Below are 16,060 nucleotides of genomic sequence, written 5' to 3'. Positions count from 1 at the left end.
GCTCTGCCTTCTCTCTGTGCAGGACTGTTGTTGGGTTCTGCAGCATTTCCCGTGGACTTCCCATGTTTATTCTGTTTGGGACTTGTCGTGATTTTCCCAGCCTCCCTCTCGTGGAGACGTGCCTCTTCCCATTACCTACGTCTTCTCCTGGAATTCCTAGTTGATATATGTGGATCTTACTATTTTTTCCTCCATGTTTTGTGTCATCTTTTTGCGTTTTTGGTCTCCATCTCTGTGTTCTCTGTTCTAGAGAATTTCCTGTCATCGGTTTCTCAGTTCACCAGATTTTTCTTAAACTACGTCTGATCTCCATTTAATCTTCTACTGAGTTTTTAATTTTCGCAATTATATTCAATACTTTTAGAAGTTATATCTGATTCTTTTCCACTGCTGTCTTTTTTATAGTGTCCTATTCTTTCATGATGCTGTTACCTTTCCTTTATCACTTTAGATCTTTTATGTATTTATTTTTTTGAGACAGAGTTTCGCTCTTGCTGCCCAGGCTGGAGTGCAGTGGCAGGATCTCAGCTCACCGCAACCTCTGCTTCCTGGGTTCAAGCAATTCTCCTGCCTCAGCCTCCTGAGTGGCTGGGATTATAGGTGTGAGCCACCGCGCCCCACCTAGATCTTCTTAGTATAATTATTTGAAGTCTTTTTTGAGTGATTCCACCTTCTGAATTTCTTTTCTTTTTCTCGAGATGGAGTCTCTCTCTGTCGCCCAGGTTGGAGTGCAGTGGTACGGTCTTGACTCACTGTAACCTCCACTTCCTGGGTTCAAGCGATTCTCTTGCCTCAGCCTCCGAGTAGCCGGGACTACAGGTGCGTGCCACCATGCCCAGCTAATTTTTTTGTATTTTTAGTAGAGACGGGGTTTCGCCATGTTGGCCAGGCTGTTCTCAAACTCCTGACCTTGAGATCTGCTTGCGTCGGCCTCCCTAAGTGCTGGGATTACAGGCGTGAGCCACTGCCCAGCCAGCTTCTGAATTTCTTGAGGAGTGTCAGCTCACACTCCCTTTCACATGTGGATTGTAATTTTATACCGTGAGCTCAAATTCTGCTGATGTGTTCTCCCTCCTGCCCTGCTTCCCTGGGAATTTCTAATGGCAGGACTTTCAAGGTAGGCCCTCAGCCCCTCTGGCTTTTGGGTCACTGCTGAAAAGCACACGTCCCATTTACAGGACACTGTCCTTTGCTCTGCTCTTGGCTGCTTCAGCCTTGGCTCAAGGCCACCCCCTGCCCCCAGTGCTATTCTACCCTCTTTGGGAGTCCCCTATGCCCTGCATTATGGAAAAGTCTTCACTGAGTCATTTCATATGCACTTCTGCCAGATGCCCCAGGGCTCTTCCACAAGTGCACATGTCATCTCTCCTTCAGTGCTTATCCTTAGGCCATCGGAAGCACAGGATGATCTACTTGTGTGTGTAGCACAGGCTTGGGGATTTGTACTGGGGACCCTGCCCATGTCCCGCTGGTATCCTGAACTCTGAATGCAGACAGACTTCCCTGCACCCCTGTGCCATGGGCGGGGTTGTCCAGCCACTCTGGGGTCCTGGCCAGATTCCCCCATCTCCGTGTTGTAGGTTAACATTGGCCCTTCACCCAGTAGGCCAATATTTGAGCCCAACAACTGCTGGATTGTTGAGGTCTCAGATCATTCACTCACTTACAGGCGTGAGATTTCTTCACCTTTCTGGAACAGGAGATTTTCCCGTTTGTTTATTTTGCATTTGCCTAAGGAATGGTCTTAGTCTGTTTGGGCTGCTATAACAAAAACTGTCAGCTAGATAGTTCATAAACAACAGAAATTTATTTCTTACAGTTCTACAGTCTGGGAAGCCCAAGATCAAGGTACTAGCAGCCTCAGTGTCTGGTGAGGGGCCTGCTCTCTGCTTCACAGATGGTGCCTTCTCTCTGTGTCCTCACCTGGGGGAAGGGGCTAGCTGGCTCTCTGGAGACTCTCTTATAAGGGCACTAATACCATTCATGAGGGCCCCACCCTCATGACCTAATCACCTCCCAAAGGCTTCACCTTCCAACACCATCACATTGTAGGTTAGGTCTCAATGTCTGAATTTGAGGGGGACATAAACACTCAGACCATACCTGGTATTAAAAAACTATAAGGGGGGGCGGGTGTTAGATTTTGTCTGGTAAATCTAGGTCCTTCTTGTTGTCTGACTCTGTTTCATGAATTATTCATGAATGATTTACCCCTCATGAAACAGTGTGACTGTTTCATTCCTTGGACTCAGGCGTGTCAGAAATGTCATCGTCTCATCATCTGAAAGTCAGATCATGCACTCTGACCCGTCACCTCAGTCATTGATGGAGGCCTTCCCTTCCATGTCCTGCAAATGTCCCTGGGGCTTTGTAATGGCAGGACTTTCAAGACAGGCCCTCAGTCCCTCTGGCATTCGGGTCGCTACTGAAAAGCACATGTCCCATTCACAGGACGCTGTCCTATGCTCTGCTCTTGGCCGCTTCAGCCTTGGCCCCTCAACTCACGGCTGCCCCCTGCCCCTGGTGTTACTCTTTTGGGAGCTCAGGTTTCAGAAACTAAACCAGGAATGGTGGCTGTGCCCAGCTTTATGCCCAGCAAGGCACCCATGGCAGAGGAACAGAAAGGCTACCTTGTCACCATAACATGAGAAGAAAACCACATGCATGCCTCGTAAGTCAGCAGAGCAAGCACTTACTATTTCTTTTGCTGACCTCAAGTCCAAGCATTGTCTCTTTTTCTCAGTGTTGTCCCCCCCAAAATGCTCAACATTTGTTCCCTGGGGCCACACACCTCGCATGGTGTTTCTTGCGTGCCCTGCGAGAGCACAGCCCTGTGGCATTTCTGATGTGTCCCCACCGGCTCATCTGGAGGGATCTGGAGCTGATGTTAGGGGTCAGCTGAGCGAGGGTCCATCCTGGAAGAACAGAGGGTCAAGCAGACCCTCTGCTCCTTTGAGGCTGGGAACCTGGGTCCTCATTTCCTGTCTCCCTGGTGCTCATGGGGCAGAGGCACTGTGGAAGTCACCAGATAATTGTTTCTGGGACTTCAGTGCTTTCCAGAGAAGCCCATGGGGCCCCTTTTACACCCTGAGTGTTCAGTCGTCATCATTACTACGTTTGCCATTGTCTTCCAAGCTTGTGCCTCACAAGCTTTGAGGAGAAGCTCAGACCCTGCCGTTTGGTTGATATGAACTATGTCTTTATCCAAGTCCCTCCATCCCATTTTTATGTGTTTTTTAGACAAACGACTGAGGAAATCTTAGGATTTTTTTTTGAGGTGTCGGGTGAGTGGACACTTACCCTTTAGGAAGGGGTGTTGTGCTGATAATTCGTAATTACCCTTTGGGGAGAATAAAGCTAAAACCCAACCATATCACTCTAAAAACTATGATGATTGCTGTTATTATTCCCCGGAGGCTGTATGACCGTGTGGAGCCTGTCAGATACTGTAAAAGGGACATTTCCTGCTGCCCACCTGTGTGACTGGGAATGGACACAGCCATGGATGGGCCTAGTGGCCTTGGGCAGGGCCTGCCCCTACTTCCCAGCACGTAGAGGCTGGGACAAGTCAGCCTGTTTCTCCTATTCCTACCTTTCCTCATCTCTGAGAGAGAGGGAATGCATGTCTTGATATATTTGCTTCTCCAGGTTGCAAGTTAAATTGAGTTAAATGAACTCATGCAAATGCAATTTCATGAAGTAGAAAGTATTATTAAAATGTAAGGTGTCATCTCTCTATGGAAAACTTCCATAGAGTGGGTTTCCCAAAAGCCAAGCCTGGGATGAGGACTTGGGTGCAGGTGGTCAGTGTCAGGGAGGGAGGGGGTTCCAGGAAGCAGGAGAGAGAGACAGGGCAGAGGAAAATCCACTGGCATCCAGTGGAAAATCCACCGGAAGGGGAGTGAGTGTGTGTCAAGATTGTTGCTGCAGGCAATGGGCTTGATTCCGAAGGGAACACTGGAGTGTGCACAGAAGGCTCCCCAGACGTGACCCACGGATGGCGAGAATGGAAGTGTGATCCGGGGGTTCTTGGCTCCCAAATTTCTGAGATGCTCCTGTGCAGGCCAAGGGAGTGGGCTTCTAGGCAAGAAAACCTGTAAAAAATCAAAGGCCAGCGTCACATGCTTGAGGAGGGGCTGGGCCAGCTGCACTGCCACCACAGCTATGGCAGAAGTTGGGGTGGCATGGTACCTCAGGAGGGCATCCTGGGGAGGCAGCCAGTGGCAGATTCCATCAATGCACAGTGCTGGGGCCCTAACCCTCTCAAAATGCTAGTAACTTAAGAAAGTTTGTTACTTTCTAAAAAACCTTGTGTAGTCAGTTAAAAAAATTTCTTCCTGCATGAACAACCTGTTGATCTATGCCATATTCCTTCCATCCTTCCTACTTTGTAAAAATAGAGTCATTCCACAAAGCAGCTTGGAGATTTCCTCGGGAGTGTTCAAGGCTTGGCCAAAGTGAGCCTCTTAGGCTCTGCAAGGGCCTCTCGCCTTGGAGGGACACCCTCTGCCCCCGTGGTTCCCTCCAGTGGTCCCTGCTTTCTGGGCTGATCTGGAGACAATTGGAAATGGATAAGCCAGGCCTGGGGCAGTGTTTAAATGAGGCTTCATGTAAGTATGAGTTAAATTCTGTATACTTTTAAGCTTTCAGTGACTGTGTGTGAGTGTGTGTGTCTTTAAAGTTGTCTTTTAGTGTATTTTTAGGCCTCTGTAATTTTTTTTAAAATTTTTTGTGGACGCAGGGGTCTCATTGTGTTGCCTAGGCTGGTGGCAAACTCCTGGACTGGATTGGTCCACCCACCTCAGCCTCCCAGAATGCTGGGATTATAGGTGTGAGCCATCACAGCTGGCAGGCTTCTGCATTTACACTTGTAACGTGCCCTCTTATCTAGGGCAGTGATGCAGTGATGTATTTGCTTGACTAATGTTCCTTTATGCTGTGTTAAGCCCTGTTCTGAGCACTGGAGATCCTAAGAGACAGATGTCCCTGCCCTCACACAGCCACCCTCCTTGAGATCGGCCGATCACCAGTGTTGTTCTGTCCCCTGATCAGTTTCTGATTTCCCTGCAGTGTTCCCTGGGAAGGGTGGGGGGAGAGAAAAGAGGGGTGAACCGAGTCAGCAGGCTGGCAGCCGAGGCTGCCGCAGGAAGCAGCAGTGCCCCTGCACGGTGGACTCCTTATCCCTGCAGTGGATACCTGGGGCAGAGGACGAAGGTCCCGCCCACCTGCCACGCTGCCTGCCTGCCTCCCGGCCTCCAGCCCAGCATTCCTAGCATCCTTGCTTTTACCTCTGAGATCAGGTGGGTTCTGTGGACTGATGTCTCCCACCTGGGACCTGCCCCAGGTCATGCCATTACAACAGAGCCGGCGGGGTTTGCCCCCTTGTCCCTCAGAGGCATTTGACAATAAGGACCCCTCACTCCTTGTGCCTCCTTCAGTTCCCGGTTTATAAAATGCACTCTCCAGGGACGGTCGGCTCCTCTTCTGCACCTTCTTCCAAACAGGGTGTCCCAGGTCTCTGCTGCTCTTTTTCTCACTGCCTTGGGATCCTTCCTGGCTCCAGCTGGGAGCAGTCCCACTCGGCATATCTCCCACTCTGTCCCCAGCCTCCTGTCTTTGTGGCTGGCTGCAGGCACTGTCCATTCCCAATAACTTGGTGTTTCTGAACCAAAGTCTTGTCTGACGATGCCTGTCCATGTTCTCACCAGTTTTTTTTCCAGTCACCCAGACTCAAAAATAACTCTTTGCTCTGTTATCCTTGTCCCCTTTACTTGTACAATATTCTCCCATACTTTTGGTTTGCTTCTTATTTTGGTATACTGTAGTAGCAAAGAGCTTTGGTATATCTGTCACCCGAATTCACTGATGAGCATTTTTCTCTCTTTATGGTGTTCTCTCTCTCTTCCCTCTTTCAACCCTCTCTTTCGTATTCCAACCCTTTCTCCCTCCACACATATTTTGTTCTGAACCACTTGAGACTAATTTGCTGACATCATGTCCCTTTATCTATACATACAAATTTTCTTAGAACCCTTATTTAACGTAAGGATAGACTTAGGGGATACAATACTGTTATCTAATACGCCATTTGCATTTCCATTTTTCCAGTTGTCACAGTAATGTCTTTTATAGCTTTCTTTTCTTGGTACAGAATCCAGTCTAGACTCACATATTGCATTTAGCTGTCATGTCTTCCGAGTCTTCTCCAATCTGGGTTAATTCCTTTGTATTTGTCTTTCCTGATCTTCACATTTTTTCCCCAAAATATTAGTATAGACTAGTTATTTTGTAGGATGTCTTTAAATTTGGTTTTGTCTGACGTTTCTTCATGGTGACATTTGGGGTGGTTTTGTCTGACGTTTCTTCATGGTGACGTTTGGGGTGGTTTTGTCTGACGTTTCTTCATGGTGACGTTTGGGGTGGTTTTGTCTGACGTTTCTTCATGGTGACGTTTGGGGTGGTTTTGTCTGACGTTTCTTCATGGTGACGTTTGGGGTGGTTTTGTCTGACGTTTCTTCATGGTGACGTTTGGGGTGGTTTTGTCTGACGTTTCTTCATGGTGACGTTTGGGATGGTTTTGTCTGACGTTTCTTCATGGTGACGTTTGGGGTGGTTTTGTCTGACGTTTCTTCATGGTGACGTTTGGGGTGGTTTTGTCTGACGTTTCTTCATGGTGACATTTGGGGTGTACGTGTCCAGCAAGAAAGCAGTGATGTTGTGTTCTGCTCAGTGCATCTTATCAGGAGGCACATGCTGTATGTCTGTCCCATTATTGGGGATGTCAACTTCTGTTACTTGGCCAAGGTTGTGTTTAGCTGCATGGAGTTGTAGATTCTTATTTTACCTCATGAATATTCATTCTACATTTATTTATTTAGATGCCCAAACGGTCTCAGATTTGGCCCGTGTGGGTGTATTTTTTAAAATTGGACATGGGTATCAAATCTTCCAAACACTTTTGCAACATCATGGAGGCTTGCATATAATTTTTCTGCATAGATATATTAATGTGGCATATTATGTAAATAGTTTTCTAATGTTATGACAACCTTAAATTCTGGAATAAATCTCATTTGGTTGTGGTGTATTCTTTCCTCAGAGTGTTATTGCATTCTGTTTGCTAGTGTTTTATTTAGGCTCTTTGCATCCATATTCATATGTGATATTGCCCTATAATATTGTTTTGTGTGTGTGTGTTATTTTCAGTTTAGATATTAGTATTATAGCTCCATGAAAAGAAGTATGGAAGCTTTCATTTATTTTTGGTGCTCTGAAACAATTTATGAACCATGGAAGCTATTGGTTTTGTAGAGGTTTAGTAGAATCCCCCGTGGAGCCATCTCAGATTAATGCTTTTTTGTGACTATAGTTGCTTCATAACTTTCTCCCTTTCTTCCGTGAAAATTGATCTGTTTAAGCTTTGTATGCTTATGGGATCAATTTTGGTAAATTGTATTTTCCTAGAAAATTGTATCTAGATTTTCCAATTTAAATGTGTAAGGGCCTCCCTTTATTTATGTATTATTACTTAATGGAGGTCACCCTAGATTGCACATCCCTAGGTCACAGGGCCTTTGGTACATTAAAGTTATACTTAGGCTCATGGGACTGTATGGAGTGACCTTTTTGTGTCTATCTTTGTACTGCTCTTGAAAATCTCTCTTGGTTTTGGAGGCCCAATTTGGATGTCACCTTCTCCAGAAAGTCCACCCTGATTGCCTCATTTGGTTTTCTGTAATCCTGAAGTGCTTTGCTGACTCCTGAAGGGCTGAGCATCACACTGTATCTGCAGTTCATTGTCTTCATTGTATCCAAGGCATTCTGGCAGGAAGGCAAGACTCAGGCATTACTTTCTTATTACCGCTCTAACAAATTACCACAAACTTAGTGTTGTAAAATAACACAAATATATTATCTTACGGCTCTGGAGGTCAGAAGTCTGCAATCAGTTTCACTGGGGTAAAATCAAAGTGTCAGCAGGCCTTCATTCCTTCTGGAGGTTCCAGGGGAGAATCTGTTTCCTCATTTTTTCCAGCTCCCAGAGGCTGCCTGCATTCCTTGGCTCATGGCCTCTTCCCCCTCCTTCAAAGTCAGCAGTGGCTGTTGAGTCTTTTTCACACTGCGTCACTCTGACAATTCTCTTCTGTAGTCAGATTTCCCTCTGCCTCCCTCATCTAAAGACCCATCAAAGCCACCCAGATAATCCAGGATAACGTGTGCATCTCAAAACCTTAGCTGGATCACATTTGCAAAGCCCCGTTTACCATGTAAGTTCACATTTTCGTAGGTTCTGGGGATTAGGATGTGGACATCCTTGGGGTGTTGGGAGGCCATGAGCTCACTCAGCCGTCTGGCCCATGGCCTTCTGGGGACGACCATCCCTCCTGCAGCCTCAGGGCTGGGCCAGCTGCCAGGAGCTTCCCTGAGCCACCTGGACAGCCCCAGCCAGCATGCACTTTAAATAATAAACCATGCATTCTTGATCCGTCTACTGCAACACATAAAGAAGTTTCCTTTTTTCTCCCACGAGTCTAAGCATGGCAATCACAGTCAATATTAAGTATTTTTTTTTTTTCCTTTTTCACTTATCTGTTGGACATGTTCTCTCTGAGAACCCAGATGTGAGGCTAGGGCAGGCACCTCTTCTTGAATATTACTTGATTAAGAAAGAAAAGCTAAAATCTAAACATTGAAACAAAAAATAAAAGGGTATGATGCCATTTTTTGTGTGTGCGCATATGTGTCTGAATCCTTTTTCCCACATGCAGCTCCACCAAACAGAGGAATTGGACAAGAAGTGGTGTCGGCTCTTCCCAGTTCTCCCCTGGACTCTTATGCAACACACGCCCGCCCCACTTTAGTAACTCAAAGCAGAGAAGGCCTCCAGCTTAAATAGGAAAATCTGCCTCGAGCTGCAGACGGATCAAGAATTCATAGTTTATTATTTAAAGTGCACACTGGCTGGGGCTGTCCAGGTGGCTCAGGGAAGCTCCTGGCAGCTGGTCCAGCCCTGAGGCTGGAGGAGGGATGGTGGCCCCCAGAAGGCCATGGGCCAGGCGGCTGAGTGAGCGCATGGCCTCGGTGCTGGCTTGGTGTTGCAGGGGGCGGTGGGGGTGGAGAGAGAGGTCCCTGCCAGCTCCCGCAGTAGTGTCTGATTTTTGAATCAGCGGCGTTCATGTTCCCTCCAAGGGAGAGAGCCGGGAGAATGTGTGACTGAGAGTGCACACCCGGCTTCCCTCCCGGCAGGAGGCCTCTGGCCAAAAAGTCCACCCGAGGCAAGGGAAGGAGAACAGACACTCTGGTCTTTTTAAGAAATGGCTTTCGGGTTACATTTTTTCCTCTGCAAAAAGGTCTAGCCTTCTCAGTACATGAATTTCTCATGGAAAAGCCTAGCAGAAAGTCTCACCGGGACAGCTGCTGCCCAGTTTTGTTGAGCGTTTTCCAGCTGCAGATGCAGTGGGTCCTTTTGCAAAGCCTGCTTTCCAAAGCAACAGGCAATTTCATGTGCACGACCAGACAGAGAATTTGCCTGCTGGAACCTGTATGGGGTTGCACAAACTGGCTTTGGGCTGAAGGAGCTGGTACCTTTCTCAATCCATTAGCAAGTCGTAGATCAAACCCCCTGCCGTGGCGTTTGGATGGAGCTGGACAATGAAGCTTAGGGGAAAAGCCCAGTAAAGCCGGGAGTGTTCCCACCCAGTGGAGCAGAAAACGTCAGGCGTCACTGGTGGTCGGCTTTGGTGGTGGTGTGGATGCAACCTGGGACCAGCTGTGAAGGGACAGAGGTCTCGCTCACATCTGCTGCAGGGGACCTTCTGCTCTGGTGTCCACACTGCACCCTGTGCTTAGGCGTGCTCCAGAATTGGGGAGCAGAAAGGGACCTTTCTTCTCTGTAAGCGAAGAGACACAGCTTATAGGTTGGGGTCCCGTGGATTTCTTAGGAAGCCAGTGCTTGGCCTGCTGGGCCCCTGCGAAGGGAATGAGCCATTCTTTGTGTCAATATTTAAAGAAATACAACACACTCCTAGAAGATAAACTGTTTCCACTGCTGCCAGGGATGTGGCTGCTTCTCTCACTGTGCTTTTGGGGGATGCTTTATTACCCCTCCTCTCCCTGTGTGGGGCTGATGGTCGACAGCGGGCACAGCTTAGGTTCGGAGTCTCCTGCCTGCTTTGTCCCTGGGGGTATCATCTGAATGGTGTTTGGCCTGTTGGTTTCCTTTCTGGGAGGCAGTTAATCATCTTGTTGGTGCAGAGTGTTCAGCGGCACATCCGTGAATTTCTGTCACGGGCCTGCTTGGCTCGCCTCTGAGTTTGAAAAGCTGCCTGCCTTAGTATAAATATGCATTTCCCAGCCTCGAGGACGGCTCGGCTGTTGCAGTGACAAGAGCATCTGTGCATCCCTCGGGGCACATTGTCCCTTGCCGGCAGGTGATCTGCCTCAAATCTTCCTGTTTCCTATCCCTGACGCCTTTCCCTGAAGCTGCCCCTGCAAGGGTCCTGGGGTCTCTGCTGTGTTTGCTTCATCACGTGTGTACAGGCGTTGGCTACTGTGGTCGGGGGCAGCAGGGAGAGAGAGTGCCCAGAACAGGCTTGGCCACACAGACCCCCAGGCAGTTGGGGTGGGCCCAGAGTTCTGGAGGAGAGGAGGAAAGAGGTCATGATGGCGATTTGGGGATGCTCCCTGGGGAAGCAAGATATGAGCCAGGCATTGAAACTGCTGGGCTTCACGTGGATTCCAGAGAAAGGGCATGGCTTGTGTCATCTGTGCCTTTGTACGTTGTCCACATGCCTGGCACGTTGTAGGCTTCAGAAATCTCAAGAAGCCCATGGGAATGGGTTTGGGATTAGAGAGGACTCTGCGGCAGCCAGGGTGGTGAGACAGGCACCAGACTGAGGCAGGCCAGAGCTTGAGTCCTGTCTCGAAATCCATCCTCACTGAGGGGGCTTGGGCAGGGGGCACCCCCGAGGTTGCAGTGGGTTCCATCCCAGCGCCGACCACCATCACAGCTGTGGGGAATAGCCATTCCATTTTTTGTGCGTTTTTGAGACAGGGTGTCGCCCTGTCACCCAGTCTGGAGTGCAGTGGCACAATCACAGCTCACTGCAGCCTCGACCTTCCTCGAGCGATCCTCCCACACTCGCCCCCACATGCCTCCGAGTACCTGGGTTCAGAGGTGTGTGCCACCACGCCCAGCTGATTATTTTTTTGTGGAGATGAGGTCTCACTGTGCTGCCCAGGATTTTCGTGAACTCCTGGGCTCAATCCTGCCACCTCTGCCTCCCAAAGTGCTGGGATCACAGGCTTGAGCCATTGCCCCTGGCCACATGGCCATTCTGTGGGCATGCAGCGTCCAGCCTCTGTAAGAATGAGGACCATGTTGTTGAGAACGTAGCTTTCTTTGGGACATCTAAGTTGTGAAAATCAGAGTTTTCCCTGAGCAAGCTGCCCATTTTGCTGTATTTGGGGACCCAGAAGTTTGGGAAGAAACAGGAACAGGGATTGATGGTTGTGAATCTGGTGTGGCTTTCTCACCTCATCTGACCAGGGCACGAAACCCCAAGATATGCCCAGTTGTGCATGAGTTGTGTCCCTCTGTGTCCCCTGGGGTGGCCTTTCCTGCTGCTTAGTCAGACTCCCCTGGTGATGTACACTGGGTTGTCTCGTGGAGAAAGTAGCCGGCAGAAGAAGCCAGGGCAAACTTGGATGGCTAAGCCCGGGATTCTGTTTTCCTTTCCCATTACTTTTTTTTCTTTTTTCATGAATCCAACACTGACAGTACAGATTTCTTGAAGACATTCCAGTTTCAACCATATTAAAGAGTAGTTACTTGGAGTTATGATACATCAGTAACTACCTAAAAAGGGAAAGCATTTAGCAATAGCAAAAAAAGGAAGCTGTTCAAGTTGTAGCAAGAATCTTGTTATAATTGCTTCCAGCGTGAATGACGTGGGCACTTTGCTCAGGAAGCCTGAGGATTCTACCAGCGAGTGAACGATGGTGTTCCCTGCTTGCTTTATCTTTGGGGATTCTGAGATTTACAACTGTCGTCTTTTGCTTTTTTCCTTCCAGTTGTCTGTGGCAAGCAGCCGCTAGCAGCCTGTGTTCCAGACAACTGAACATAATTTCTGGCTGCCAGATAAAATAAAATGTTTTATAATAACTTTTTGACAAGGCTGGACGATCAAGCCTTTTGTGGGGTGTGTGTGAGTTGTCTGTGTATGTGGGAGAAAAAGCGGAGACCGTTTTGCTCCAGGGGTATGATGTTTTGGTAATAGATGTCATTGAAAAGTTGTTTTAAAAAGTGAGACTTCTGTAAAGTGGGTCAAATTTTAAATGAAGTAGATGAGCTTACCGTTTTAAAGGAAGCTGGAGTAAATTCTGTAAAGTGGAGACGTTTTTGGCAGGATATGCACCAGCTGCTTAGAACGTACTCGTAGGTTGAATTTTGTATTTTTCATAGAAAAAACATAATTGCTTGTCTAGGGCAGATTTGTGATGATTGGACTCTTTCTGCAGGGCACCATTATAGATGAGCAAGACTGTCGTCCAGGTGTGGCAGTGTTGGGGCTGTGTGGTGGGTGGCAGGTCCCAGCAGGGGGTCTGTGGGAACCCACACTGTTGTGCTCTTTCAGAAGCTTGTGGAGGACGCCAGCCACACCTGGCACTGCACGCGGCACGTGACATCGGCTATCTCATTTTCTCCTCCTCAAATGCTCAGCTGTTTTCATCACAGTAAAACGGCATGGTTCCCATTACAGCTGGATAAACATGAAGGGGCATTTAGGGACCAGAGGCAGGAGGTCTGCATTGCTTAGCCCTCTCTCCATCTCAAGCTAAGCCAGAAAAATAAATAAAAGGGAATTTATTGACTCGTGTGAAAAGCCCATCAGGTAATATGAGCTTTAGTCATGGCTGGACCCAGGGTTTACAGCAGTGTGGCTGGGGCTTCCTTGCTTGCTCTTGCCATCTCTTTCTTTTGTTTCACTCTGGGTTTACTTAAGTCTCAGGCAGGTCTTTCCTGATGGCAGCACAGGGGGCCCCTGGCAGCTGCAGCTTTTGTGGTCCTTGGTGCCTGTGAACCCCGTCACACCAAACTTTGTGAAAGGATTTGAGTGGCCCTGCTTGGGTCACGTGCCCAGCCCTGGACTCATCCCTCTGTCCAAGAAGCAGAGTCTTTTTTCCTGTCCTATAACGTGGTCATCACACAGCATTGGGGTAGGGCTGGTGATAGACAGCTTCATTGGTTTGGTGTGGTCCTCAGAAGCAAAGAGGTGTTCTGTTGCAGGATGGGGCAAAACTCTAGAAGCCCTCTTAGGTGGCCTAGATAATTTTGTCAATCTTTGCCTTTTTCTCCTGAACCCAGACTTTTGGGATGGCGTTTGCTCACAGGCATTCATGAAGTGCTCCTCAGTCCCTGCCATGGTCCTCTCTCAGCCTCGTTCTCCTTTCTGTCAGGGTCAGCAGAGGAAGGAAGTCATGTTCAAGCTGTGGGCTATGCTTAGGTGAAAGGCCCTTCTAAGAGCAATTCTTTGGGCCTGTGTTCTTGCAGGATGCCCAGTTGCCCAAGTCTGGGTTGGCTCAGGTATTTCAAGGGGGTGCTGCATCCCCGCTTTGGGCTTTGGAAGCACAGCAGGGCATAAGGGTTTCTACCGAGTTCGAGCATGGGAGAAACGAACAAGTTATGGCGCTGACTGCTGTCTCAGTCCCTGTTGCTGCACGATGAGCTACCCCAAAGCTGAGTCGTTTGAAATTGCCATTTTAATAAGTTCATAGATTCTGTGGGTCAGGGATTTGACAAGGCACGGTGGACATAGCTTTTCTCAGTTCCACAGTGTCTGGGCCTCACCTGGGAGGACTTGAAATCTGGAGGCTGGAGTGATCTGGAGGTGCCTCATTCATGTGTCTGGCCTGGAGGTGGATGACTTGAAGACAAGGACAACAACGTGGAGCGTCTACCTGTGGCCTCTGCAGCTTGGCGTCCATACCTTGGTGGCAGACATACTTCTTCTATGGCCACCAGGGCTCCCAATGCAAGAGTTCCCGCAAGCCCAGCAGGAGCTGTGCTGCCTTTGAGGATCAGCCTCAGAAATCCTAGAGCATCACTCTGAAGGTACTCTGTTGGCTGAAGCGGTTAGAAACCTACCCAGGTTCAAGGGCAGAGAGATAGACCCCACCGCTCAATGTCAAAGAATTTGGGGGCCTTATTTAAAACCTCTTCACACCTCTATAACTGTAGGTAGGTGACACCGCTAGTGACAAAGGGCTACTGTGCAGAGGGATCAGAGACAGCTCGAGGAGAGAGCATATTCCATAGTTCAGAGACAGCATACCGGGTATGGGGCTCTTCAGCCCAGCTTTGGACATTGGTGTGCATCAACTGTGGGCATTGGGCCTAGAGAAGGCTTTGGTGTCAGAGCTGTGGTGTAGTCACTCTGAGTGTCCTTGGTCAGTTAATTGATTATAGCTTTACGGAGATAAAATTAACATGCAATAAACTGAATATATTCAAATGTACAATGTGATGAGTTTGTTTAAATTTATATATATTTTTAGAGATGGTGTCTTGCCATGTTGCCTAGGCTGGTCTTGAACTGGGCCCAAGCAGTCCTCCTGCCTTGGCTTCCCAAAGTGCTGGGATTACAGGTGTGAGCCACCATGACTGGCCTAATGTGATGAGTTTTGACATGTGAATGCATCAGTAAAACCACCCTCACGATAAGATAACATATCCGGTAGATCCAGATCTAAGTGTCCTCAGAATGTACAGTCTCAGTCTCTGGGGCAAGTGTAAGACCCCACCATGGCCCAGCAGAATGGAGTAGGCAGATGCCTGTGAGCCCCTGGGTGCACCTGCCTGCCCTCTAGCAGCTGATCTGAGATGGGACGTGAACCAGGGCCATCTAGGGGGCCTTGTGCACACAGGTCTTGGCACTGGCTTTTGCCAGCGCTCTTGTCGTTGGAATTTGAGTAAATACAGCAAACCCATCTGAAGACCTGAGTACAAATACCACAGCCTTTGAGACGGATTTATTTCAGGGACCAGAAACAGTTTGAGGAATCTGGCATCCTAAATAGGTAAACAAATAAACAAATCTGGCAAGAAGCTAGGGCTTCTAAGAAACAAAGAGCCATAAAGACCAGGTTGAGATGTTAAAACAAGCTTAAAATAAATGAGACCTGGATGAGATAAGCTTTATAAGGTGTTTTTTTTTTCTATAGTTGACCTTTGAACAATGTGCAGGGTTGAGGATGAAGGGTACTGACCCTCCCCCTCTGCTCCTGCACCACAACATGCAGTTGAAAATTTCAGTATAACTTTTGACTCTCCAGAAACTTAACTGCTTATAGGCTGCGCTTGACTGGAAGTCTTACTGTTAACATAAACAATGGGTATTGTATACTGTATTCTTTCAATATAGTAAGCTAGAGAAAAGAAAATGTTACTAAGAAAATCATAAGAGAAAATATATTCACTATTTATTAAGTGGAAGTAGATCATTACAAAGATCTTCATCCTTGTCATCTTCATGCTGAGTAGGTGGAAGAGGGAGAGGAGAGGTTGGTCTTGCTGTCTTGGGTGGCAGAGGTGAAAATCCATGTATAAGTGGGCCCGCACAGTTCAAACCTGTGATATTCAAGGGTCAACTGTACTACAGTCTGCTACAGCAGACCAAAATGCACAAAGGCGGCAGTACAGAGCAGAAATGGCTTTGTACATTTGAATTAGCGATGAGAATAACTGTGAGGTAGTCCCTCAGGAGGCAAAGGAAAGAAGACAGTGGTGAGAAAGAAAGTGCTAGGAATGGATTACAGAGAATGGAAATCCAATCCAGTAATCCCTGCAGATGGAACCCTTCCCCCAAGACAGAATAGGAGCATTGATCAAAGATTTATAATGAATGAAGACTTCGGGAAGTTTGAAACAAATCTCAGTTTTCAGGATAAAAGGCTTACTGTGTTGTAGTCAGAATGAATTTACATGGACTCACAGATTTATTCTGGCAAAATTTGCGAATTATAAGGTTAAAAAAATTATACTAGCATTCAAACAGACAAA

The 16,060-nt window shown here is 47.8% G+C and overlaps 1 protein-coding gene across 13 annotated transcripts in view, besides 1 other annotated feature; it reads left to right on the top strand.

Moving 5' to 3' along the window:
- The window catches only part of ADAMTS17 (ADAM metallopeptidase with thrombospondin type 1 motif 17), a 370,539-nt gene that overhangs the window by 21,571 nt on the left and 332,908 nt on the right, over window positions 1-16,060 (top strand). The window lies entirely within an intron of this gene.
- Window positions 10,288-10,787: an enhancer, noted in NCBI's record as "H3K4me1 hESC enhancer chr15:100849823-100850322 (GRCh37/hg19 assembly coordinates)". NCBI's record gives its function as "activates a minimal SCP1, AML or CMV promoter by ChIP-STARR-seq in naive H9 embryonic stem cells {active_cell/tissue: H9 hESC(naive)}" and the evidence as "EXISTENCE:reporter gene assay evidence [ECO:0000049][PMID:30033119]".

Source organism: Homo sapiens, chromosome 15 (genome assembly GCF_000001405.40).
Source record: "Homo sapiens chromosome 15, GRCh38.p14 Primary Assembly".
NCBI classification, from domain to species: Eukaryota; Metazoa; Chordata; class Mammalia; order Primates; family Hominidae; genus Homo; species Homo sapiens.
Note: the sequence above shows the minus strand (reverse complement) of the source record. Positions and strands in the feature narration are given on the sequence as shown.